The 27,492-nt window shown below is 37.0% G+C and overlaps 1 long non-coding RNA gene across 5 annotated transcripts in view, besides 1 other annotated feature; it reads right to left on the bottom strand.

Annotated features, from left to right (window-relative positions):
• LOC105373896 (uncharacterized) overlaps positions 1-27,492 on the bottom strand; it is an 86,007-nt gene that overhangs the window by 50,514 nt on the left and 8,001 nt on the right. For 4 of the 5 annotated variants that reach the window (XR_001739891.1, XR_001739893.1, XR_001739892.1 and 1 more), the window contains exons 1-2: positions 22,010-22,089; positions 761-860 (exon numbers count right to left, since the gene is read on the bottom strand). This is a non-coding gene — a long non-coding RNA (uncharacterized LOC105373896). Of the gene's footprint in view, positions 1-760; positions 861-22,009; positions 22,166-27,492 lie in introns of those variants that run through there. The other variant, XR_001739890.2, reaches the window with a different exon arrangement.
• Positions 25,997-26,497: an enhancer, noted in NCBI's record as "H3K4me1 hESC enhancer chr2:221614001-221614501 (GRCh37/hg19 assembly coordinates)". NCBI's record gives its function as "activates a minimal SCP1, AML or CMV promoter by ChIP-STARR-seq in naive H9 embryonic stem cells {active_cell/tissue: H9 hESC(naive)}" and the evidence as "EXISTENCE:reporter gene assay evidence [ECO:0000049][PMID:30033119]".

The raw sequence follows: 27,492 nt of genomic DNA, 5'->3' as shown, positions 1-27,492 counted from the left end.
CTTCATCCCAAGAACTTGAATTTTCCAATGCTGCCTACTGGATGTCTATAACCTTTCCCCTTAGGCCTGCCCTCTCCTGTAACATTCCAGTTTCCGAACTTCATCTGGCCACTTTCCTGGGCCAATTTCCTTAAAGCAAGGATCTTTGCTAGAGTTAACTTGATAACCTAATTTGCACTTTGTTGATGATCTAATATGTGTGTTACCTTTCCAAGTACGTAACAGACATGCACGGACAGAGGTGTCTGAAACTCTATAATTCAAAGACTAAATATAAGAACTTTTAGCAGCTTTGGATGTCAGAGAAATGGGAAGATTTGGTCAGTGGGCAAGGGCAAGTCAAGTGGTGGTGGTGTCAGTCACAACAGAGGGGCCATCTTCATTGTGTCCTCTTGGAAGAGACCTAATTAACATAACCCTATTTGCTTCACCCCATGCATGCACAGCAGCAATGTATAATTCTTACACACTCCTGGAGCTAGAGACACTGGCCTAGCCAGACTGGGGGACAAGGGCCTTTTTAGGTTCATAGAGAGGAAATGTAGAGAAAGTGAAGAGGGAGGACAAAACCACCAGTTTGGAGACCTAGAAGATAAACTTAGTCTATCTTCTGAACTTTTTTTTAATTCATTGAAATAAGTTACATAGAGTGACTTCAGGCACAGTTCAGTTCAATTTAACAGATATTTACTGACTGCTAATGCATAATTAATAGGGATAATAATAAATTACTAATCAACAACGCTGAATTAGCACTTACCTTGTATCGTGCACTCCACTGAGCATTTTACATGGATTATTTCAATAGAATTTCACCAGCCTTATTGTGTGATAGGCAGTGACATGCTAGTAAACAGGCTCTATGAGGAGAAAAAAAAATACCCTAATTTGTAGCATCTGCTTATTACTATGGTGTAAACATTCCTAGCATAGATAATTTAAAGCTACCAATAGCTCACAAAATTTCTGAGTATATTAAAGTTGGCCCACAAAATTCCTGACTATTTAACAATTGGGTCTCCTAGCTAGTAGAAGCTGGTTCCAGCACACCACTCGTAGTAGATATCTTTACTTTCCCATTTGTTAGCGTGACCAGGTCCTCCCAGTTTGCCTGGGATTTTCTTGGTGTTAGTATGTGTTTAGGAAAACCCCTCAATTCTGGAGGAACTGAGATTGTTGGTCACCCTACCCTTTTGCGCTCATGAATATGATTATTGCCCTTATAAAAGAGGCTTCAGAGGGCTGCCTTGCCCTTTCCACCATGTAAGGATGCAGCTAGAAGCTGCATCTATGAATCAGAAAGGGGGTCCTCACCAGACACCAAACCTATTGATGCCTAGATCTTGGACTTCCCAGCCTCCAGAACTGTAAGAAATAAAGCTACCCAGTTTGCCATGTTTCCTGCCATTTTGTTACAGTAGCTCAAATAGAGTAGACCAACTTTGTACATATGAAGAAATTGGGAATTTAGAGAAACATGTCCAATATCACACAGGACTGTTTGCAGGACTTACAAGTTTGATTACGCAGCCTGTGAGCATCACTGCAACAGACAACAAGCTTTCATTCTTTATTTGAGAAGATCAGCCATGAGTGCAAAAACTGAGAGAACACACACATGCACACACACACACACATGCACATTTCATAAAAACATAAAAACTAAATTGATTTATGGCATTATAAAAGTAAAGTATATTATATGTATCTAAGAGAATGAACTGCAGCTTTGCCCAGCTGATTGCTTTATCGAATTCAAGGATTTAGCTCAGTGTCATTTTATTGAGATCCCCTGAAAGGAATTGTCCACAGTCTCCTAGCACCTGCACTAATATCATTTACATAAATCCTCCACATTATGCAGTGGGTACAGATGAAGCCAGGCTCTGCTTGTCAGCACACAAGCACAGCAGTGAGAGCAACGCTACATCTTTTAACATCCTGGGAAATTTTATAAGTGAGGATATTTGCCTTTTCTTAATAGGCCCTGTTGAATACAAGCTTCATTAACTATAACATAATCCCTCATTTTAGAAAATCATTTCAATGATTATTCCTAATGAGTATCAAGATATTTATATGAAAAGTAGAGCTTCTTTCCTTCCAAATTGAAACTCATGAACTCTAGTATATCCTTTAATTAGAATACCCTTCAAGAATAAGTCTCATGAATAATCATGTTAATGTTCCATTATTTGCTAAGTAAGATGAAGATCTGTTTGGAAACTTTACATTTTGTTTTTCCATTTCTGATAGAGGTTTTAATAAATATTATTTGTAAAAAGCCAAATGATTTATTTAGATTATAGTGAACATCACTTTTGACCCTGTAGACCCCTTTTAATGGGTAAAATAAATTATCTGCTACATAGAAATGAGTTATCCCATTTTGTAAAAGGCCATAAAATTCTGAAAGCATTAAAAGAGTGCAGAATGACATTAATTTACCCAAGCAATGTTCCAGAAGAGTTGGTTTAATACAAATACATAACATATAAAAATAGTGATTTTCAACACTCATGAACTATCTTAAATATCTTAAAAGTTTTCCAGAAACTCTTCCCAAATGCTTAAAAAAATCTAATATATACCTCACCCCATTAACTTCAAAAAATAAGTATATGCCAATTTGGGCTTTTGTGTGCTAGAGAGAGACAAAAAATGAAGAAAGAGAATATGTTTAAGTTGGGAGTCACAAAATAGTAACCAGAAATAGATTTAAATTTTATTTCTCAGGGGGCCTTATGTCCTTGAGGTTTATTTTACTCTAAAATTGCAAAAATCTAATAGTGCAAAAGAGATTTAGAAAAAAAATCTTACAGAATATTAGATCTGATCCTTGGGGGTGAATGTCATCTAATTCAAGTAAGTAGCAAAAGAACATATGTGAGGACAGGAGGGTAAGGAAACCTGGGAAGAAAGAGTATCTTTCCAATATAAATCATGAATTTTATGTTTTGCATTAAAAAGGCATCTGCTATTTTTGTTTGTTTTGCTTAACGGTCCTGAATTAAAACTGATATCACTGACCTCACACATCTGATTTCAGAAAACTTGTTAATAACAAGATACTACCACAGTAAAACATGTTAACAGTTCTATTTCTGGGATTGTTCAGGATTAGTTTTACCCATATGCTAAAACGTATTGGATGGTCCAGAATCAGAGGTTATCACCTGAATTCAGATTTGGGCTTTAGGATCATTGTACCTCCAAATTTTATGCAAATATTTTTCTGGGAGAATTGTTGAAATCTCTTGTCATTTTCTCATGGCAGTGAGAAGCTCAACAAAATTGAAAACTCTCTGGTAAGACTCTCTGGCATATGATCTCATCAAATAATTTCATATTTATGTATTCTTATTCCATACTTTATTGCTTAAAAGATATACAATGAAGTTAAAATAAGTCCTTATCACTTTTTTACTGTATTTTAAGCTTATAAAGCTCAAAAATTGAAGCACATAGAATGATTCTAAATGTAAGAAATTCCCAAATAATTATTTTAATGTATTTGTTATACTTCTGAACAATATTCTCAAACCATACGAGCAAAATATTCTCAGACACACATATTACTAAGTTTGATTTTTATTAATGGTAGAGGTGGCCTTTGGTCAGAGGAAATTATTTATATAACATGATTTTAGGGAAGTTCTGAAGGTATTTCTGAACCCACAAATGCCCACGACTTTCCTGGGCTGGAACTTCTATTATAGATCCCTTCTTCTAAACCATCCTTCTTTGTTTCATCTGAGCTATAAATATCCCTACGAAAAAAAAATTGTTTTAAATCTCATAAACTGTAAGTGCCTACCAGGTCTTCTCATATTTTGAGATGGACAAGAGAGGAGACACATTAACACCTGGAGGGGAAAGGACATTTCCACTGAAGAAGGACATAATAATGAAAATGACAGCCAAGAATGCTAATGTTGGGCTTCAGTTATAGAAAGTAAGAGAGAAGGCACAGAGAAGCAATATCAATGATTATCATAGGTGCCATGATTTCAAATATAGTAGAAATTTAAAGATTCAGAAGAGAATTCTATGAAAAAATGTATGCCAATAAATCTGCAAACTGAGGTAACTGTAAAATTTTACACAAAATCATAATTAACTATAATTTATTATAGAATAGATAAACATGAAATGGTTAGACAAATAATACCATTAGAAGAATTGAATTAATAGTAAATGGTTACTTTCCATATAGTAATACTTTTTCTACACACACAATGCACAAAACACCAGTTTCAAACTGTGTTATTGGCATCTCAGTGAACTTTTAAGGAATGCATGAATTCTGTCTTATTTGAACTATTTGAGAGAAGAGAAAAAGAGAGAGACCCATGCTTTTCAGAGTATGTATCTGTATATCTTTGATGCTTAAATCTGTTAACAGACAGTTCAAAAATAAAATTATTGCCCAATCTTATTATGAATGTAGATGGAAAAATATAAATATTAGAAAACCAAGTTCAACAATGTGTTGTGGTAAAATATCTGAGTATATATAATGCATACATTCAACTATTCAAAACATACAACAATGGTATTACATGTCAATATAGTAATGTAATTCACCACATTAACAGATCAGGAAATAGAAATCATATAATCATCTCAACTGTCATAGCAAAAGCAATTGCTCTATTTAATATAAAATTGATATGCTTTCAATATTTAATTGAATATGCTTTCTTTTCCTAGTAAGTTTATCTATATCAAACAGTACTTAATGATGGAGTTCAAAAGCAGTTCTAATTAAGTCAGGAATAAGATAAGGATGCTTAGTATCACCTCTACTCAACATTTTACTAGCAGTTCTTTCCTACCTAATAATAAAGAAAAAGAAATGAGCATGATGATAAAGAGACAATTCTCTATAAAGAAAATCCAAAAGAAACTAAAACAAAGAATTAAAATGTATAAGAATTTTCATTAGGATTGCTGGAATTGATATAAGCATAAAAAAGTCATTTAAAATATTTTTTTAAACATACAGTTAAATAATATCAAAAAATTTTAAGCAGCCTAGTAATAACTCAAACAAAAGATGAACAAAAACAGAAGAATGTACAAAATACAATTAAAAGCTCCTAAAAAACCCTTGATTCAATAGGGATATATTTCTTATTTATGAATAGAGATATTTAATATCATATCTATCCTCCCCTCCATATTAGTCTATATATTTACATATTTTATAAAAATCTCAAACACATTTTTGATGGAACTAAAAACACTATTATTGAAATTCATATTAAAGAATATGGTTCCAATAGCAGCCATGACAGTTTAAAAGAATAAAGAAGGTTTGGAGACTTACTCTACCAGAGAGTAAAAACTGTTAAAAGAGCTACAGATTTAAAGCAGTGTATATTAATGGAGGAACAGATGAAAGACTAGATGCAGTGGAATTCAGAGCCTGTAGAAAGACCAAGCATGTCTCGGAATTTGGGATGTGACAAACAGCATCACACATCCGTGAGGGATGGTGTTAGGCCAATTAGTTCAACTCGTTTTCTTTTTTTTTTCTTTCTTTCTTTTTTTTTTTTTTGAGACTGAGTCTCACTCTGTCGCCCAGGCTGGGGTGCAGTGGTGAGATCTTGGCTCGCTGCAACCTCCACCTGCCGCGTTCAAGTGATTCTGCTACCTCAGACTCTGCAGTAGCTGGGACTACAGGCACGCACCACCCCGCCCAGCTAAATTTTGTATTTTTAGTAGAGATGGGGTTTCACCATGTCTGCCAGGCTGGTCTCGAACTTCTGACCGCATGATTCGCTTGCCTCAGCCTCCCAACTCGTTTTCTTCACAGAAAAAATTAAATTAAATTTCTACTTCATATTATATCTCCAAATTAATTTTAAGAGATTAAAAAACAAAATAGGAAATAAACAACTTTACAATTATTAAATAAATGTTTAATAAAATTTCTTTTTAAACTCTGATGGGAATGTATTTCCTAGCTGAAAGCATAACTCAAAAAATATATAGATAATTAAGACTAGCTGCATTAAAATGTAAACATGCTTCCCATAAAAGGAATAATGAACAAAGTTGAATAAGCAAAAACTGAAGATAATATTCACAATGAGTAAAATAAAGGATTAGTACCCAAATTTGAAAATTGTCCTATGTACGTATAAGAAATAATCAAGCTACCTTGTAGAAAAATGGACACAAGATCTAGAAAAGCAATTTACAGAAAAGTCAGACCAAAGGCAAATCATTCATGAAAGTGTACACAATCTAACAAGGCATCAGGAAAACAGAATCTATTCCTTTTCTTAAAGAAAAGTTATTGTGTAACTATTCATTTGGCAAGATTTGTTTAAAGTATCAAAATACCATAAACTGATGAATTGTGAAGGAATAGTCACTGACGCTGCAAAAGAAAATTGTCCTCCAAAATGAGAGAAACTTTGGAGAACAACTTGGCAATACCTAGTAAGTTAAAAACCTGTTTGCTCTAGGAACCACGGCTGCAATTTCAAATATACATTACAGGAAAATCCTTGCACATATGCATCAGGAGACTTGTCAACAATATCTCTTGAAGCCTTGCTTACCATGGCTATAAGAATAAAAACAACTTAAATATCAAACAGTAAGAAAATCTATACATACATTATGGAAAATAAAAGAACACACCACAGTGATCAAGAACAAGATGGAGCTACTGGTTTCCATATATAAATCTCAGAAGCATGTTTAGTGCAAAGAAGCAAGATGAAGACAGTTTTATAATTTTGTTTGTTTTGTTTGAGACAGAGTCTTTGTTACCCAGGCTGGAGTGCAGTGGCGAAATCTTGGCTCAGTGCAACCTCTGCCTCCTGGGTTCAAGCAATTCTCTGCCTCAGCCTCCTGAGTAGCTGGTTCGACAAGTGCCTGCCACCATGCCCGGCTAATTTTTATTTAATTTTATTATTTTATTTTTTTGGTATTTTTTTAGTAGAGACAGGGTTTCACCATGTTGGCCAGGTTGGTCTCGAACTCCTGACCTCAGGTGATGCACCTACCTCAGCCTTCCAAGGTGCTGGGATTACAGGCGTGAGACACCACGCCCTGCCCAGTTTTATCATTTTAAACACTGGTTACTGGGTATATGAGAATTTTAATACTATTCACATAATTTTTTGTATTTATGTTTACCAATTTTTTTAAAGTATTAATATATCTCCTTCCATCTTTATGTTGGTAAGTATTAAAATGATGCATATGGATGAAGAGCCATGGTTTGCTCAGTTGTGTATTTCTTATAAAGTTTCCTTGGTAATTCACAACTAAGCTGTCAGTTTTTGAAACACACTATGAAATCGATAAATGGCAAGTATCCAGAGACTACAAGAAGTAGTCAAGAAATTACTGTTCCAAGAAAATGCCCCTGGTAAAAAGAAATCCATCTGAATCTCCAGTCTGCAACACCTTCAAATGATTTAAATATTGTCTTTTATAATGAAAGTTATGTACTGCCAATATCAGGAAGGCATGACATAGTCTAGGCAATATGTGATTGGAAATAGTAACAAGGTTAAATAATAAAGCAACTTTTGCTGATTCATAGCTCATTATGTTATGAAATTATAAGGCATTAGAAGTTATAGAGCAAATGGCAAACATTTGCTTTGGAGAAAATGCATATCATTTTCTCGTTTCTTCAGTCTGATTCTGTAGGTAGACAGTTCCAACTGCTGAGCTTGGCACTGGTAATTTGATTCGTTTTAAGCCAAGTGAAACAGACAGAGGGTAGCTAAATTGACTTTTAAAAATAATAATTTACTCTGTTACATTCACAAAATTTCACACTTTCCAAGAGTGATAATAGTTGTTCACTGGAAAAGATTCATATGGACCTAGGGCAGAGAGAAACAGGATACTTTTCACTTGAAGCAAGACACTGGAAATGCATTAACATGAAAACCAGCAGCAGGAGATGCTCCTGGAAAAAAAAATATGTTAATGCAGCTGGTGGGTACAATGAATTTTTATGTTGACAGTCCTCACTGCTTAGTGATTCCAAGTACTGAAGATTAGAAATAGCTGAAAGGTTTGCGATTCCCAGTCCTGGCAGAATTGATGGAAAGAGAACTTTTTGAATAAAAAAGGAAAGGAACATTAAACTAATCAGGGGGAAAGATACAAAAAAACACCTATAATTAATTTATAGGTTATTAATTTGTCACTTTGGGCTGTGAAAGCATTTGTATACTTCCATATCCTACGAGTCTATTGTGAAAAAAGATGTGTTCTGTTTAAATTACACAGCTCAATTTGCTGAGAAAGCATTAGCAGTGGACCTTCACAAAAATGAATCCAATCTTTAAGGGTCTCTCTAATGTGTTGCTCCCTCTTTCAGTCATCGGTAATTTTACAACATTTCAATGGATAGTGCTGGAATCAAGGCCAATGGAATATTTGCCAGAAGTACTAGGGAAAAGCACAGTAATTAAGGCAACATAGTAATTCACCTCAATTAAGAGGAACCTCCAGGACAAAGCTGATTTTCTGATTTGCAGCAGTCAGTTGCTTCTACCCTTTGGGAAAGTGTTCATCAAATCTGCATCGCCAGTGTCACCAGCAGCACCCTTCATGTAGCTTAGCATTTGTTTTCCAGGCTTTCTGTCACTAATCAGTTACATAAACCTTCTTGTGCATTTCATTCCAGACTACCAAAATCTCCATCTGGAAAGAAAGTTTATTTTTGGCTAATTCATTTGTATTTTTATTTTTACAGTTTTTCTACTATAGTCTCTAGGCTACATGTATTTTCAACTCTCCAAAATACTTTCTGGAGAATTTCAGTAAAAAGAGAAACAAAGAAACATGTTAACATGATCATGCCATTACTGACAAAAGGTCTACAATGAAAGGGAATAATCACTTGTAAAATACTATTAAACCCAGATTTTCCAGTAAAAAGTAAGAGATGTCTATACTATCACACGAGGTAAGACAAGCAAGGAGTTGCTGCATGGCTGCTACATTCAACAAGCCTTTGGCATTCCAAATTCTAGAACTCTCCATCTCCTACTCACCTCTACGTGTTTCCACACTGCGGGAAAATCCTTGGGCTGGTTGATGGTGATGGTAAGGTGCAGTAACTATATAATGGGACTTACAGCTGATAGCTTGAATTAGCAAGTGGATTATCACTTAGTTGATCCAATTACATCATTAAGTTAACCCAAATAACTGGACCATACACAGGGCCAAGTTAATTTACCATTTTAATGATAAAACCAGGTTAGTCAGGCAGTGATTTGGGATTTATTTACGCTGCGCAGGCTTGTTTGTCCCTCAACCATCATCAAAGGGGCTTAGCAGCTTCTATTGAACACTTCTTTCCCTTCCCTCACCCAAACCCCAATCAACAGGTTTTATTTTAAACCATTTATCTGTAGAGAGAGAGGGTGGATCTCTCTCCGACACTAATGAACAATTCATTCTGGCAAGAAAGACCAACACAAACAACCCTTAGGTAAAGTTCCTGCTTCCTAATGAACAGCGCCTTTGGGCTCCACACTGTAGAGCCAAATAAATGACTCCATAAGCCCAAAAGCTCATTATTGGCCTGAAATAGGCCCAGCCTCAGGCATCTGTGGCCATATTCAGATCATTAAGAATCTTCTGTTGCTTATTGCTTTCTCCTTTTTCTATTTAAGAGGCCAGCAAGGTACAGGTTTCCATCCTCCCCCACATCTTAAGCCTATTTCTTATTCCATGTTTTGCCATCTCTCTACTCTCTGCCTGGTGCTCCTTTTTTTTTTTTTTAACCTATATAAAATTAAGTCTTTCTCTCTCGTCAATGACCCTATTTTTGAGGTTCACTAGTTGACATGTACACAGCTGGGGACTCACCCTTTTTATTGTCTTGCAAAGCCCACCACCAAGGGTCACAACCGTGTCAGGAATCTGCAGCTTTCATGTCCAAGCACCCGCAAGTCCCACATGAGTTTAATAAGGAGATGTAGAGCTGAATCAAAATTGTTTCAGAGAACCTGGAGGGGCTCATTTAAAGCACTTCCAATCTCTAGCTCACACATACATTACTGAACAAGTTCCCAGGAGAGTAGCATAGAATCCAAACCTTGGACGCATCTTGTACATTAGCAAATATTAACTTGTAAAATATTTTATTTTTCTGCTATAATGAGCATGGATGCCTTCAGAACCCATCTTTGTTTTTGTTTTTGTTTTTTCACTTGATGCTGAGGAAATAATCTTTTATTTGAGGCAAGATAATTAATTCATGTTATTTTGCCTATTAATTTTATTTTTACATCCACAGACATCACAATAAACAAGTCTATGTTTGCACTTTCCAAAAATTCCTCTTTATACAATTGCAATTACTGAAGGATATTTCAGGCTTAAGTTTTCTCACCAAGGCATTGCTTCCTGAAAATTAGCTCTAGATATCATGACATTGAACTAAACATTTGTTCAACAGCCACGTTTAAGTTTTGTTTAAAATACTTTGGGGAATGAAAGTGTATTTTTGAGAAAATTATTTTGAAGAAATACTTGGCAATGGAAAGCCAGATGGAAGAGACAATTAGAGAAGAAAACAAAGGTTAAATGCAAGCATTTTGCCACCCAGCCAGGTCAGAAAAATATAAAGTGGAGAGGGGAGAAGTTGAGGACCAGAAAGAAAACAGTTGGAGTTCTCTTCAGAAAAAAAAAATCATTGCGGAAGAGTGAGGAAATGGAGGAAGGGCATTTTTTTCTCACTCATTCTGTTTCAGTTTAACATTTATCAGCACTTGTGATAACCTGGCTCAGGACTCTCCCCATTCAATCATTAAGTGAGACTTTACCAAACACTTTTGAGTATTAGACATATGGTGAGTATGAAGAGGAATAACATATGGTCCCACTAGCCTCAAAGAATCTTTCTTTGATCTCTCTAAAAAAGAGAATATACTTTATTAGAATGACACAACTGGAAGGACCAATTCTAAAGATACAGGTGACATATCAAAATGCAGGGAACGCACCCATTGAAGCAAAAGCTTTGACTGAGTTAGGCTTCATAATGGCCTTCAGGGAGGAACTAGGGGTAAGCAGGTAAAGGAAATGGGAGAGTCTACTGGTAAAGGCACAAAATCATACCGTATTTATTTTGTCTTTAATACATTTTTTAAAAGTTGTCTTTAAAAATACTGTTGTATGGTTATTTAATCTATTTTCCTAAATAGGTCTGTTTCTACTTAAACTTTTTAAAAGAGTAAAATGTTCATGATTAAGGAAAGAGGGCCAGAAAGCAAGATTGAACTCTTACATACTGCTTCCATTTGAAGCACGGTAGCCAAGACGGCAGGAGCGGGGGTGTTGAAATTGCAAAAGTAAATAATGACGTGATAACCAATGTCAAACGGTGCCTAATGATGTGTTACTAAATAAAACCAATATTTAAAGGTAATTTCCTCACTGAAAAAGTACTGGACATGTGCTCTTCTTTTTACATTGGGTAAAAACACTGTTTGCAGAGCTGCCTGGGCTTTTGCCCCAAGCTTTACCACTAACTAACTTTACAAACTTAGGAAAGTTACTCAACTTCTGTGTGTCTCAATTCCCACTTCTATTATATTAAAAAGACTTGTTCTGAGATCTTAGAAAGACAATGCATATGACATGTTTATAACAGTGCATGACACACAACAAATGATACATAACATTTATTAGTAGTGATGATGATGATGAAGATGATGGTATCATTCATTTATTCAAGAACTATATATTGGTTGCCTATGTGTAAATCACAGCCCAGATTTTCCAGGATAAATCTTATTACATGTAATGTTACATAATTTCATATGAATAAATTTACAAAAGCTTTTGTCCATTTGTTTTTGCCAGATCATGAGACACCATTTAATAGATTTAGGACTATGAACTTCGGGGCCAAAATGGTCAATTTATAAATTTTGGAGTTAGCTTTGGCCAATATACTTGCTTTGCAACCTTGGACAAGATACTTAATATCACTAACCTCTTAACAGTTTCCTCATCTGGAAAATGGAGCTAAAAATGATACATAGTTCAGAGCATTATTTGTTGATTAAATAAAATGACTCATAATATTCCTGGAAAAAACTCACTTAAAATGTTTTGCAGTTAATAAGGCTTATGGACATATAAGTATAATGATCTTTCCGTGACAAATCTTGAAAATACAATGCCTCAGTTTAAAGGATTCAATACCTAATTCTAATGTGGGGAAATGGAATTGGACTAGACCAATAGAATTGATCAGAATAGAATTGATCTGGGTTAAAGTAGAGTTCTGATATTAATAGACTCTAGACTTTTGAAATGTCACTCTGTTTTTATTGTCTTCAACAGCTCACTTGCATAATAATGAGAGCAAACTGAGTGACTTGGAAGGACTTCCCCAGTTTAACATTTTGTAATGACATGGCTTAATGGGAGAATTAAGATACGATGCACAATCTAATGAGGATATTACACAATCAACTTTCCTTGTCTTATGTATTTATTTTCAGCATTCAAAATCTTATTCTAAAGTTGTACCCAGATTTTGAATGACTTGTTTCTCCAGTTTGGGACTTCGTTTTGCAAAGACAGCAAAAGGAATGGCAATGACATTCAAAAGGAGAATTATAAACATATTATCATATAGTTAATTGAAGCCTAATAATATACAACAAAACCACAAATTACGTATAATGGCATTCTGATTATACGTAAATTTCTTCTCACTAGAGAACTGGTAAAATTCCTGAATGCAAAATGGATAATAAAATACACCTGTTTAGGTTTGAAAAACTAACAAAATCCTTTTCTGGGAGTTTCAGTTTCAGCATGGTGGAGCCTAAGCACAAAATGGCCCTTATATCCCATTGATTACAACTAGAAACTCATGGATAAGAAACAAAAAACAACTATACAGGTTGCTTCTTAAGGGGACTCACATCTTGTAGAAATAAACCATATGTAGGCGAGTTTCACCTTTTTTTTTTCGCCTGAGGGAAAGCCCCATTTGCAGCAAAGCAGTCTTTGCGGTGCAGGCAGTTAAGCTCCAAAAGAGATCATTTTCTTGCCAGAGGAACCAGGAAAATAGGTAGCTGTGGGCTGGAGAGTCTGAGAGCAAATCTTGGAGGGGAGAAATCCAGAAGAGTTCCCTTATTTCTGTGTCTGAACCCATAGAAATCTCAGGTTCTATATACACATACAGCAGACCCAAACCACAGCAAATATTTTAAAACTGAACTGAAATTTGAACACAGCCCTAAGATGATGAGCAGAGTTTGCAGTCTGACCCTCATTGAGCTGATTTTCTACTAAAACGTAACACCTCAACATCCTCTAGAGGAATCAGAGTCTAAGCAACAGAACGTACACAAGGTCTGGGATATGCTCCCAAATTCCCAACATGAGAAAACCAGGAAAATGTGATCAGTTTTCAAGGGACCAGGCAACTAGCAGATACCAACTCTGACATGACCAAGGTGTTAGAATTGTTAGATAAAGGCTTTAAAGCAGCTATTATAACATGCTTTCTAAGTTGAAGAGAATACACTTGACATGAATGGAAAGAGGAATTCTCATCAGAGAAACATAAACTATATATAAAAAAGAACCAAGTGATAAATTTCAACCCCAAAATGGAATCTCTAACATGAAAAAAGTCATTGAATGGGATCATCAACAAAATCGAGATACAAAGGAAAAACTCAGTCAATTTGAAGATAGACAATGGAAATTGTCCAATGTGAAGAACAGAGAGAGAAATGAAATGAGGGATGGGGGAGAAAACAACTGCAGGAATTTGCGAGACGATATTAAAAAATTCAAATATACACATCACTGGAGTGCTGGAAGTAAAAGAAAAAGTTTGGAACAGAAAAAAGTATGAAGAAATCATGGCTCTAAACTCCCCAATTTTGGGGAAAGACATCAATTTAGAGATTCAAAGAGTTCAGTTAATCTCAAGCAGGATAAGCTCATTGAAAATCATGCTTGTAAATATCTTCGTCAAATTGTTGTAAACCTAAGATACATATGTACCTTGAAAGTGGCTAGAGAGAAAGACATATTATGGACAGTGTAGCAATGACCTAATTGGCCATGGACCTCTTATCAGCTAATGTGGAGGTGAGAAAACAGTAAAATGACATCTTTAAAGCACTGAAAGAAAAAAAAGTGAAATCGGAGTACAATATATAGTGAAAATATTCTTCAGAAATGAAGGTGAAATGAAGACATTTCAGATGTAGAGAAACTAAAATAATTTCCCACCATCAGCCTTGTTCTACAAATATTCAAGGGAGGGTCTACAGGCTGAAGGGAAATTATATCCAAGGGTAAGTTGTTTCTTCAGAAATAAAGGCACAGCAACATAAATGGTAAAAATATGGGTAAATATAATAGAGTGTATTATCCTCTTAAGTTCCTTAAAATATGTGTAATTATAGAAAGCAAAAAATAAAATTATTGAATGGGGTAATATATGTATGTATATATAAGTAATGTATAAACTATGTACATATGTATAGTGTAAGTACATATACGATAAATGCAATATAAATGTCTACATTTGAATGAGGTAGTACAATATAGATAGACTTAATAGGTTAGATATGTATATTTTAATCACTAGAACAACCATTAAGAAAAAAGAAAATCCAAAGGAATATAGCCAAGTAGTGAAAACTTAAATTAGAACGTTAAAAAATACTCTGGCATGCCAAAGAAAGGAAGAAAAAAGGAAACAGAATACACAGGAGAAAAACAGAAAACAAACAATAAAATAGTAGAACTAAATCAAACAATATTAATAATTACATTAAATGTCAAATGTCCAAAAACTACAATTAAGAAGCATAAATTAACAGAGTGGATACTCAAGCAAGACTCTATTTTATGTTTCCTATTAGAGACAATATAAAAACACAGATAAGTTGAAAGTGAATGAAAGGAAAAAAATAATACCACACAAACAGTAAGCAATAAAAGGCTGGACTGACTGTTTTGATATCTGATAAGTATACTTCAATATAGAAAGTAGTACTGCTTATACAAAGGATTTTTTTCATAATGATAAAAGAGAAATAACAATTATAAATGTGTAAGTGCCTAATAGCAGATACTCAAGATACATGAAGCAACAATCGACTGAATTAAATAGAAATAGACAAGTCCACAATTATAGCAGAAATTTTTATAACTACCTCTCAGTAATTGATAACACACTAAACAAAAAATTTAGCAAAGACACAGACCAGAATAACATTATTAACCATCTTCATTGAACTGACATTTATAAATGACAAAAAGAGCATATACTGTGTGCTCCCACTTATAAAAAATTCTAGAAAATATAAAATAAGTATAAAAAGAAGATCGGCCAGGTGCAGTGGCTCACGCCTGTAATACCAGCACTTTGGGAGGCCAAGGCAGGTGGATCACCTGAGGTCAGGAGTTCGAGACCACCCTGACTAACATGGTGAAACCTCATCTCTACTAAAAATACAAAAATTAGCCAGGCGTGGTGCCGGATGCCTTTAGTCCCAACTACTCAGGAGGCTGAGGCAGGAGAATGGCGTGAACCCAGGAGGTGGAGCTTGCAGTGAGCTGAGATCGCGCCACTGCACTCCAGCCTGGGCAACAGAGCGAGACTCTGTCTCAAACCAAAAAAAAAAGATCAGTGGTTGCCTGGGGAATAATAGGTTGCAAATGAGCATGAAGGATCCTTGGAAAGTGATTAAATGTTTTTATCTTGATTGTGGTGATGTATTCATGGATATTTGTGCATGTAAAAACTCATCACATTGTTCAACATAAATATGTAAAGTTGATTGTGCTTCAATTACATCTCAATAAAGTCATCAAAAAAAAACCTTATCCGGCCAGATGCGGTGGCTCACGCCTGTGATCCCAGCACTTTGGGAGGCCGAGGTGGGTGGATCAATTGAGGTTGGGAGTTTGCAACCAGCCTGACCAACATGGAGAAACCCCATCTCTACTAAAAAAAAAAAAACTACAAAAAATTAGCCGGTCCTGGTGGTGCATGCCTGTAATCCCAGCTACTCGGGAGGCTGAGGCAGGAGAATCACTTGAACCCAGGAGGCAGAGGTTATGGTGAGCCCATTGCACTCCAGCCTGGGAAACAAGAGCGAAACTCTGTCTAAAAAAAAAAAAAAACCTTATCCTAAGTAGAAGTTCATGGCCTTCATCAGACTGCTAAAGAAATCCATGGCACAAAAAAGAGGTTGATTAATCTTGGATTGGGTGGTAAATTTTTTATAACTACCAATGTTCCAGCTTTACACAATGAAATTTATAGCTACATCAGAAGCTGGGCCATATTTTAATTAATCCATTCATTTATTCAACATTTATTGAGCAACTGCTACATGCCAGACAATGTGAATAATGCCCACTAGAATAATTTATACTTAACATCCCTTTCAATGTTTATATTATTTCATTTTTAAACTATGTTTTGGGGTGGCTATACATCCCCTTTTTATCTTAAGTGACATCACACAGGCAACTTCATATGCTCTTTGCTTTTAAGGATTGTCCTTAGGGAGAATTTTTGTCATTTACATACCAAAGAACTCATCATCAGAGAAACTTAGTATTCTGGGATTGCCGCAGTGAAGACATGACCATCCTGGAACTTGTTCTGGGGCCAGCCCAGAAGAAACTAGAATGGCCTGTAAAGCTTGGCTCCTCTGGTTTTACACTGGGGGCAGGACTAACTCAATGCAGTAGGCATGGATAAGTGTACTTGGAGGCCCAAATTGCTCCCTTAAGATGGCAAGTTGCTTTGGATCCCAAGTCATTTGCCAGAGGCTGCCATTCTAGCATTTCTCAGAATACTTTTGTTTGGTTGTAAAAATGCAAAAATATTAGGTATATCTCCTAATGCTATCCCTCCCCTCTCCCCCCACCCCGCAACAGGCCCCAGTGTGTGATGTTCCCCTTCCTGTGTCCCTGTGTTCTCATTGTTCAATTCCCACCTATGAGTGAGAACATGCGGTGTTTGGTTTTTTGTCCTTGCGATAGTTTGCTGAGAATGATGGTTTCCAGACGAGTTAATGGGTGCAGCACACCAACATGGCACATGTATACACATGTAACTAACCTGCACGTTGTGCACATGTACCCTAAAACTTGAAGTATAATTTAAAAAAAATCCAACATTGAAAAATAAATAAATAAATAAATAAATAAATAAATAAATAAAAATGCAAACATATCTGCTTTTCAGAGGATATGATATTTAGAACTATGAAGATTTGGTGAACCTCCAAACAAATTAGTTTATCTTTGATATCCTCTCTTTCTTTCAGAGTTCCTCTACCCAGTAGACTTCCTATGGACACAGTAAAGTTACTGATTTCCGGTTTTAGTTCAGTGTTTTTTATCTCCAGAAAAATCCTCAATCATAATAGCCACAGTGGCACATCCTATGTAGCTGGCAACCACTGTTCTAAGTACTTTGTACATATCTACATATTTAACCCCACAACAATGATCAGGTGCTATTATTTTCTTCATCAATAGAGATGAGGAAATTGAAGCTCAGAGAGGTTAGGTAGATGATCAAAGCCACACAGCTGATAGTTATTGGAACTGAACTTTGGACTCAGTAATCCAGCTCCAGAGTCCATGCTAGGCTGCACTACCTTAACCCCACAGGCTAGTACCCTGTTGTTTCTGTTTTCAGTAGTGTAAGAAGCAAAGAGAAGAGAGAAAATGTTGGGGAAAGGTTTTTGTAGAGCCTGTCACATCACACCTGGGAGTCATCCATCTTTATCCACACGTAAAGCCAGCAAGAGTATAATGACCCACACATTCATGAGCTCTTCTCTATATTTGAAATACTACAGAATAGCAACAGAATCCCTTTAGCCCATTGACTGATAAGAGGCATGCCAATCCACTTCTTAAAACACAGTTACAAAAGCCAGAGGATGTACATACCATGCCCATCACCCCTACTCTACATTCACTGAATAGCCCAGTGATGCCAACTCTATGAAATAATGGCTTCCAAGTAGTCAGTTGTAAACAGAAACATGAAAATATTACAACAGATGCTGAAGTCTACACATTAGGAGTCAGTCTATGTGTCTGAATAATATTTACTTCAAGTTAATTTAGGCAACTGGTATATTTTTGACCGTAGTTATAATAAATTTTACTATGGAAAACATATATTTCAAACTTCCTAGAATTCACTATTTACTAAGCATGACTGGTGGGGCATGAAGTGGAAATGTAGAGATTGAAGTAGGAGTTAGAACAGTGCTAACCCTATCTCCATCATGTCAAAATGTATTTTTACACACACACACACACACACACACACACGCGCGCGCGCGCGCTAAAACAAAACCATTCAGTATTTTTACCTAGGTTATCAAGTGAATCAACTGACAGTAGAAATTTTCAGTTCAAAAACAAAAGCCACAGTACCAAATCCTAGGGTCATTATTCTAGTTCCCATGTAAGTTTACTTGCCTACCGTTCCCATTTAAATCTTAAAAATTTTATAGAGAAATGTGTATCAATTATATATCCCATTGTGAACAAAATTCTCTCTAGAATAATAATGCACACATACTTATTTATCTAAACTGCACCCTTTTGTTTAATATAAACTCTTGATAGGGTAAACCAAACAACAAAAAAAAGGACAGATCTCAACTTAAGAATGTAACAGTTGGTGTGAGCAGAAGAATGGGGGCAATTATCAGGGAAAAGGGGAAAAATGTGAACTCTGATAAGGGATTGAGTTGGAAAGGCGGGCAGTTACAGATAGGACCAGAAGTTTTGAACTTGGAAGGTAGGCAGGAAGGAATGAGTGAAATTTCATACAGCAGGAAGCGCTGTTTATGGCAGTGAGTACCCAGAGGAAGAGACACGCCCACGGAGCCCAGGTGAGCACAGTTAGAGCCTTTGTACCAAGGAAGCGGAAATGAGCGGGGGTAGGAGTGGATAGGCCAGGGTTATAAGTGATTCCTACCACTCCTAAATGTGCAAGTAGAATAAGATAGTGAAAGAAGACAAAGGCTGATTCAGTTATACATATGGTTGTACAGAAACACACACACACACATATATGCTTGTTATACATCTGTATACACATTAACAAGTAAATGATAGCATCATAAAGGTTTTCATTTATGCAATACTTGCTTCATCCTAGTGGGATACTCCACTGAGGAGAATTTTATACATGTCAGATGTGCCAAAGGGTGATTCTTCCATAAGTCAGACACTCATTTTCCAACCAGGCAAAGCACAATTTTGACACCCGCATGGGGTGTGCTCTGACCCTCTCCCCAAGCACCCTCCCTGCTTTCACAGCTAAGGGGAGGAGAGGAGTTATTTTCTCTGGTTTCTGGGAGAAGGAGGGCTAACACAGCAGCAGCAATTTCCCATTTCATTTTCTGCACCATTCTGAATGTTCTACTTCATATTTTCCACTTATATCCCCTCTACAATTTGTAAATGGGGATTGTATTAATATTCCTATAATAGTACACTTTTTATATATACAGTTGTAAGGAAATAGATTTTAGAAAGCTTAGCTTAAAATAGCTATCTTTTGAAGACTCAAAACTGCCAGCGACACAGATTCAAGTTGGATCATGTTTTAAGGGAACTCCATTTCCTGTAAAAGTTTGGAATTCTCTCATAATATGGGATGTAAAAGAGTTCAGTTTGTTTAAAAACTGTACACAAGTTTTCTCCATATCTTGTTTTCATTTGTGTATCAGTTGTAAATAAAAATTGTTGTTTGACAAAATGTAAGCTATTTTAAGAAAAAAAATTGTTTTAGTTTGGCTCTCCTCCCTTCTCTATCCTTGAAGTAAGCCCAACTCTCCCAATTATAGAGCCTTCCATTGGCATCATGATCACCCTGTTGGCAAGTGCTTCCCCATATGAAGGCTTTCCCTACACGGGATATATATAAAGGAGTATACAATTACTCTAACATTCAAATGACATGCAATTTATATTAAGAATTATTATTTTTATAATATAGATGTGGTTCAGGTAAGAATCAAATTAAACCAAAGCTTGTCAAAACTTGAAAGAGCTTCACCTGAGAAGTGGGCTGTGCTATTTAATTAAGGTGCCGATATGGTACATAGAAAACAGTATGGCTGAGAGTTCAAAGGACCTATTTGTGCAATTACCCAATCATAGGATACTGATCCAATGACCTTACTGTTGTGTGTCTCCACCTGCATCTCTATATAAAAGAAAGTAATTTAACCAGATGTTTTTCAGTGCCCAGTCTAGCTCTACATTTCTATGATACTGGGCATGAAAAAAAATTTGTAAAGTAATTTAACCCATCTAACCCTTAGTATCAGAGAAAATAGAGCATTTCTAATGGTGAAATATCTTTAGCATAGACAAGTATTATTCAGAGATTTTATAAAATGCTCCCTCTTTCTAAAAAACGTGATGTAGGATTCTGTTTCAGAGTGTGAATTATAGTCCTGTTTGAATTCAAGGAATAAATTAGAATAGCTTCTAGAATTTCAGAAACCAGTACAATTTCCAAAAATAAATAAATAAATAAAAGAACTAAGGGCTACTTTATTTTTCAGTAAAAGATATTAAAAAGAAAATAAAACCATCAATAAACACTATTATGACTAAAATTTCTTTGAAGAAAGAACATTTAGTATAAAAATTAAGAAGCACATGTTCATAGGATAAAGAATATAATTTATGTTGCATACTTTATTAAAAGCTCATTCATTTTCCTAATTTATTTCATTTGTCCATTAACGGGGAAGACATTATCTCGGACTAGCATAGATCAGAGAATTGGCTTTTGAAAAACTGGTAGATTAGATGACCTCTCACTTTCTGTCTCTTAATCCCATCTTTCCCTTAAATCGGTTTAATTATCCTGCAAAAATAGAACCACAGCAGTGGCTTATGCAATTTCTTCTTAATGGGGCATTTTCTCCATCCCTTAGTTTAACTTTATTGTATTTGACTGAACATTGTCATTGACTTTCTATAAAGTTAATCATTTAGATATCTTTGGTTAAGTACATCTCAGGATTCATAATCAAAATACTGGCCATGGATGGCAGAACTATTTGTTGCTTGTGTTTCTTTTTGCTACGGATACTTAAGTACAACCTTTTCTTTTCAGCTGTGGCTGGCACTGCTGTGCCGGTGTCCCATAGCATTCAGAATAGAGTATTTGGATAACAAGTACAAGCCACTTTTGCCCTTGTTCTTTCACTTCTCTAAAGCTTCAGAAGGAAAAAAGGCAGAATACAAAAAATAAAAGTCTTCTTGCCTCATTTGTGTGTTTGATTTGGAATCCCATTATAGTTGTATAATGGCCACCACCACCTTCTGTGAATGACCTTTGGAGACAATGACTATAGTTAGGATTTTCTTGAAGTTGAACCCCCAATTATCTGTTGCTGACAAGGCCTTATCACATGGTGGCCAAGTTTGTGAGGCTCGTCTTTCAAAGGAGACCTGTCTCTATGAAAGAATCTGAGACCAGATACACACAGTTGACTACAAGCTATTTATAGGTTTCTTAGCAGACATGTATGCAATGTGCCAGCTCTTTAGGGCCAAAACACCAACATTAAAAGGAATTATTAAGTGGGTTTCATTGTGCACCAAGAGGATACCCGATTATATAAGAAAAGACACAAAGTCACATCACATGCAAGACCTAAATGACTTTAAACAGAGATTCATTTCTTGCTCACAGAAAGTTCAATCTACAGCTGGAGTGGGAGACAGAGGGATCCAGACTGACCAAACCATCATCTTCAACACGTGGCTCTGGGGGTTATCCTGGGATCCTGGGAGACAACATCCAGCTGACACTAAGTAAGAGACCACAGGATTGCACAGGTGGTTTTTTGTTTTTTGTTGTTGTTGTTTTTTAACATGACTGAGGCATACAAGTGGTAAACATCAATTCTGCCCATATTTTATTGACCAGAATTTAGTCATGAGGCCTTACCTAGATGCAAGGAAGTTGGGAATGGACACACAGGCTCCAGGAAGCCGCCACTTCCGAGCCACAGCCAACCCACAAGGAAGAGAAGATCTCCAGGGCAGCCTGCCATCTTTACCACAGGGAATTTGCAGAAACTCTTGCCAGATGCAAAAATTAAAGCTGGGAAAAAACCAATGAAGAAATTTGCCAAAACATTTGAAACATGAAATTGTGCATACTTATTGACTAATATAAAAACAAGTTCGAGAAAAACAACTTAAGGGTCCAAAATATTATATAAATGGTAACACTCATTGACCAGATTTTCTAATTCCCTCAAGCATTTATTGACTGCTCACATTTACAAGAAAATTCAGTGAAAATATAAAATACCATCCGTCCAATTTTTCTAGGCTCATATCCCTTAAGTGTATATTCCTTTTATGCCCAATTGTCCAGTCCTCCATGTCTCCTTGTGCTTATTAAGTCCCAAAATTTTCCTGAATTGGTAAGGCTCCAGAAACCTCTGTACTTATCCCCGTGCGGAAGATCCCTGACTCACGATGGTTCCACTTATCATTTTCAACTTGAGGATGGTGCAAAGTGATACACATTCAGTAAAAACTGTACTTTGAGTGCCCATAAAACCATTCTGTTTTTCACTTTTAGTATAGTGTTCAATAAATTACATGCACTATTCAACACTTTATTATAAAACAGGCTTTGTGTTAGACAACTTTACACAGTAAGTGTTCTGAGCACATTTAAGGTAGGCTAAGCTAAGATGTGATGTTCTGTGGGTTAGGTATATTACATGCATTTTGACTTACGATATTTTTAACTTAGGATGGGTTTGTTGGGGTGTTACTTCACCTTTTTTTTTTTTTTTTTTTTTGAGACAGAGTCTCACTCTGTCACCCAGGCTGGAGTGCAGTGGCACGATCTTGGCTCACTGCAACCTCCACCTCCCAGGTTCAAGTGATTCTTTTGCCTCAGCCTCCCAAGTAGCTGGGACTACAGGTGCCTGCCACCACGCCAGGCTAATTTTTTTATTTTTAGTAGAGATGGGGTTTTACCATATTGGCCAGGCTAGTCTTGAACTCCTGACCTCAGGTGATCTGCCCACCTTGGCCTCCCAAAGTACTGGGATTACAGGTGTGAGCCACAGTGCTGGGCCATTACTTCATCTTAAGGTGAGGAGCATCCGGCTAACCCTGCACATATATCCCTACACATAGGTGCCCTATGTCCTATGTCCAAAGGCAGGGGCTACACCTCTCCCTATTCTAGGCCCTCAATCATGCAAAGGTGCATTGATCCTGTGTGGTCCTTCCATGTCCTCACTCCTCTTAACATTCTCAGTCAGATCCTCCATTCACACTCAGAGTAAGTTTCTGCTAACAGGTAAAGGAGTTACATTTTTTCAGGTAAATCTTAATTATAATTGAATTTAAAGCCCTTTAGCGTAAGACTCGGAACTAACCCAGACACAACTGCAAAGTGTTTTTGTGCTGGAGATTGAAGAATGACTCAGAATTTACCACCTAGAGGGCTGGACTTTGGTCACCTTGACCTTGATGATGACAGTGCATGGAGCTTGTTATTTTAATTTTAAATTTGATATTAAGTTGATTATGTTGTATTTATAATCCTGCATTCTATTATTTGGAAGAGAACAACTACATACCTAACACTACATGCTAACACTCACTGACCAGATACCTGAGTTTGCCCTGCTGTGGCTGAGGTGGATGAGGTTTTCTAAATATAAAAATCATGTCGTCTGCAAACAGAGACAATTTGACTTTCTCCCTTCCTATTTGAGTATGCTTCTTTCTTTCTCTTGCCTGATTGCCCTGGCGGGCGGATCACGAGGTCAGGAGATCGAGACCGTCCTGGCTAACACAGTGAAACCCCATCTCTACTAAAAATACAAAAAATATTAGCCAGGTGTGGTGGTGGGCACCTGTAGTAGTCCCAGCTACTTGGGAGGCTGAGGCAGGAGAATGGTGTGAACCCAGTAGGCGGAGCTTGCAGTGAGCCAAGATGGCGCCACTGCAGTCCCGCCTGGGCGAAAGAACAAGACTACGTCTCAAAAAAAAAAAAAAAAAAAGAAAGAAAGAAACTCACTCAAAACCACACAAAACCACACAATTACGTGGAAATTGAACAACCTGCTCCTGAATGATTCCTGGGTAAATAATGAAATTAAGACAGAAATCAAGAAGTTCTTTGAAACCAATGAGAACAAAGAGACAACATACCAGAATCTCTGGGACATGGCTAAAGCAGTGCTAAGAGGGAAATTTATAGCACTAAATGCTCACATCAGAAAGCTAGAAAGGTCTCAAATCGACACCCTAACATCACAATTAAAAGAGCTAAAGAGGCAAGAGCAAACTAATCCAAAAGCTAGCAGAAGACAAGAAATAACTAATATCAGAGCAGAATTGAGGGAGATAGAGACATGAAAAACCCTCCAAAAAAATCAATGAATCCAGGAGCTGATTTTTTTGAAAAAATTAACAAAATAGATACACCACTACCTAGACTAATAAAGAATATGAGAGAGAAGAATCAAATAGACACAACAAAAATGACAAAAATGACACTGACCCCACAGAAACACAAACTAGTATCAGAGAATACTATAATACATCTACCCAAATAAACTAGAAAATCTAGAAGAAATGGATAAATTCCTGGACACATACACCCTCCCAAGACTAAACCAGGAAGAGGTTGAATTCCTAATAGACCAAAAACAAGTTCCAAAATTGAGGCAGTAATTAATAGCCTACCAACCAACAAAAAACCGAGGACCAGACAGATTCACAGTTAAATTCTACCAGAAATACAAAGAGGAGCTGAAACCATTCCTTCTGAAACTGTTCCAAACAATTGAAAAGGAGGGACTCCTCCATAACTAATTTCATGAAGCCAGCATCATCCTGATACCAAAACCTGGCAGAGACAAAACAAAAAAAGAAAATTTTAGGCCAATATCCCTGATGAACATAGGTGTAAAAATCCTCAATAAAATCCTGGCAAACTGAATCCAGCAGCACATCAAAAAACTTATCCACCACGATCAAGTTGACTTCATCCTTGGGATGCAAGGCTGGTCCAACATATGCAAATCAATAAATGTAATACATCACATAAACAGAACCAAAGACAAAAACCACATGATTATCTCAATAGAAGCAGAAAAGGCCTTTGATAAAATTCAATGTCCCTTCATGTGAAAACTCTCAATAAACTAGATATTGATGGAACATATCTCAAAATAATAAGAGCTATTTGTGACAAACCCACAGCCAATATCATATTGAATGGGCAAAAACTGGAACCATTCCCTTTGAAAACTGGTACAAGTCAAGGATGCTCTCTCTCACCACTGTTATTCAACATAGTATTGGAAGTTCTGGCCAGGGCAATCAGGCGAGAGAAAGAAATAAAGCATACTCAAATAGGAAGAGGGAAAGTCAAATTGTCTCTGTTCGCAGACGACATGATTTTTATATTTAGAAAACCCCATCCACCTCAGCCACAGATCCTCCATTCACACGCAGAGTAACTTTCTGCTAACAGGTAAAGGAGTTACATTTTCTCAGGTAAGTCTTAATTATAGTTGAATTTAAAGCCCTTTAGCGTAAGACTCGGAACTAACCCAGACACAATTGCAAAGTGTTTTTGTCCTGGAGATTGAAGAATGACTCAGAATTTACCACCTAGAGGGCCGGACTTTTGTCAATTCGTCCATCTGATCCTCCATCCAGTTCTGCATCCTTACTGGAGAGACGCTGCAATCATTTGGAGGAGAAGAGTCACACTGGCTTTTTGGATTTTCAGTTTTTTGTTTTTTGTTTTTGCTGATTCTTTCTCATCTTTGTGAGTTTAACTAGTTTTGATCTTTGAGGCTGCTGATCCTTGGAGGGCTATTCTGTGGGTACTTTTTGTTGTTGTTGATGCTGTTGTTGCTTTCTGTTTGTTTGTTTTTCTTTCAATGGTCAGGTCCCTCTTCTGTAGGGCTCCTGCAGTTTTCCAGGGGTTCACTTCAGGTCCTATTCATCTGGTTCGCCCCCTCACTTGGAGATGTCACTCAAGGAAGCTGGAGAACAGCAAAGGTGGATGCCTGCTCCTTCTTCTGGGATCTCGGACCTCGACGGGCACCAATCTGATGCCTGTAGGATTGCTCCCCTGCCCTGTTCTGTTCTGTCCTTGAGCCTCTGGTTGGAGCTATTGGAGTTCCTGCAGGGAAGCCCCAACCAATGAGGAAGGATGGGTCAGGGTCAGGCCTGAAGAGGTGCCCTGGCTGCAGCCTGCCACAGCCAGTGTGTTGCACTTTAGGGGACACATCTTGAGACTAAGCCCTCCAGCCTCCCTGGCTTTAGCAGGGGAAAGTGCAGCCAGGAGCTGTAGAGATGGATGCTGTCCTTCCCCTGCCCAGGGGGCTTAGCATGTTAGTTGCCAGACCCAGTGCTGGCTGCTGCTCCTCCCCCAAGGAGTTCAAAGGGCTTAGACAGCATACAGCCGCAGCATTGGTGCCGGTTTCCCCTTCCGCTGGGAGTTCAGTAGGCTCCAGCTGAGAGGCTGTTGAGAATCTGCACAGCTCCAGGGTTGGGATGCTAGGCCCTGGTGGCGTGGGTTCGCAAGTGGAATCTGATCCATGAGTTGCACAATTCCGTGGTAACAGCACGGTTTCCTTGGCTGGGTAGCATGCTCACTCGCTGCCTTCCTTGGCTCGGGAGAGGGGGCTCCCCTGCCCGTGTGGCTCTCAGACAGGCTTCCGCACCACACTGTTCTTCCTCTCTATGGATCGCACCAGCCTTCTAGTCAGTTCTGATGAGAGAACCTGGATACCTTGCTTGCCAGGGAGGGATTCACATGCTTATTATGGTACTTTTTTGAGAAAATTTAAACTTTATCAATTTTGTCTCTTTAATATGAAAATTGGGAAAAAATTATAAAAGTTAAAGCTTCTCTAGGGCTGAGGTTGTTATTTGTCATTCAATCTGTCTATCTGCAAATACAATGCATGATCATCCTGGGTATTCTGCAAATGTTTACTCATTGAAAAAATAAATTCCATCTTATATCCCTTCCTCCTTCTTCATACAAATATATTGATGTAATAGTTGCTTATTAAATATTTCATTGACTTTTTAATGAACCTCTTATATGTCTTGTTTCTTCTGTACTCCCAGTCTCTTACTGTTTGCAGCAACTCAGCATTTCAGAGAGTAATCAATAGTGATGGAATTTGAACCACCATGATAAGCAGAATAGGAAACATTTTATTTGAGTATCTACATTTTATATTATAAGCATCCTCTCCAGTCTATTTGTGCAGCCAACTCTGCAAACACGCCTAACGTGATTTAATATAATCAAGATTCAGGACTGCCTTTATCCTGAGAGCAACATAGCTGTGGGTCTCCGATGACTCCTATTTAAGAACTCTTGAACTAAGCTGCCTTTTTCTGTATCAGGGTATTTGGATC

This window comes from Homo sapiens, chromosome 2 (genome assembly GCF_000001405.40).
Source record: "Homo sapiens chromosome 2, GRCh38.p14 Primary Assembly".
Taxonomy (NCBI): Eukaryota; Metazoa; Chordata; class Mammalia; order Primates; family Hominidae; genus Homo; species Homo sapiens.
Note: the sequence above shows the minus strand (reverse complement) of the source record. Positions and strands in the feature narration are given on the sequence as shown.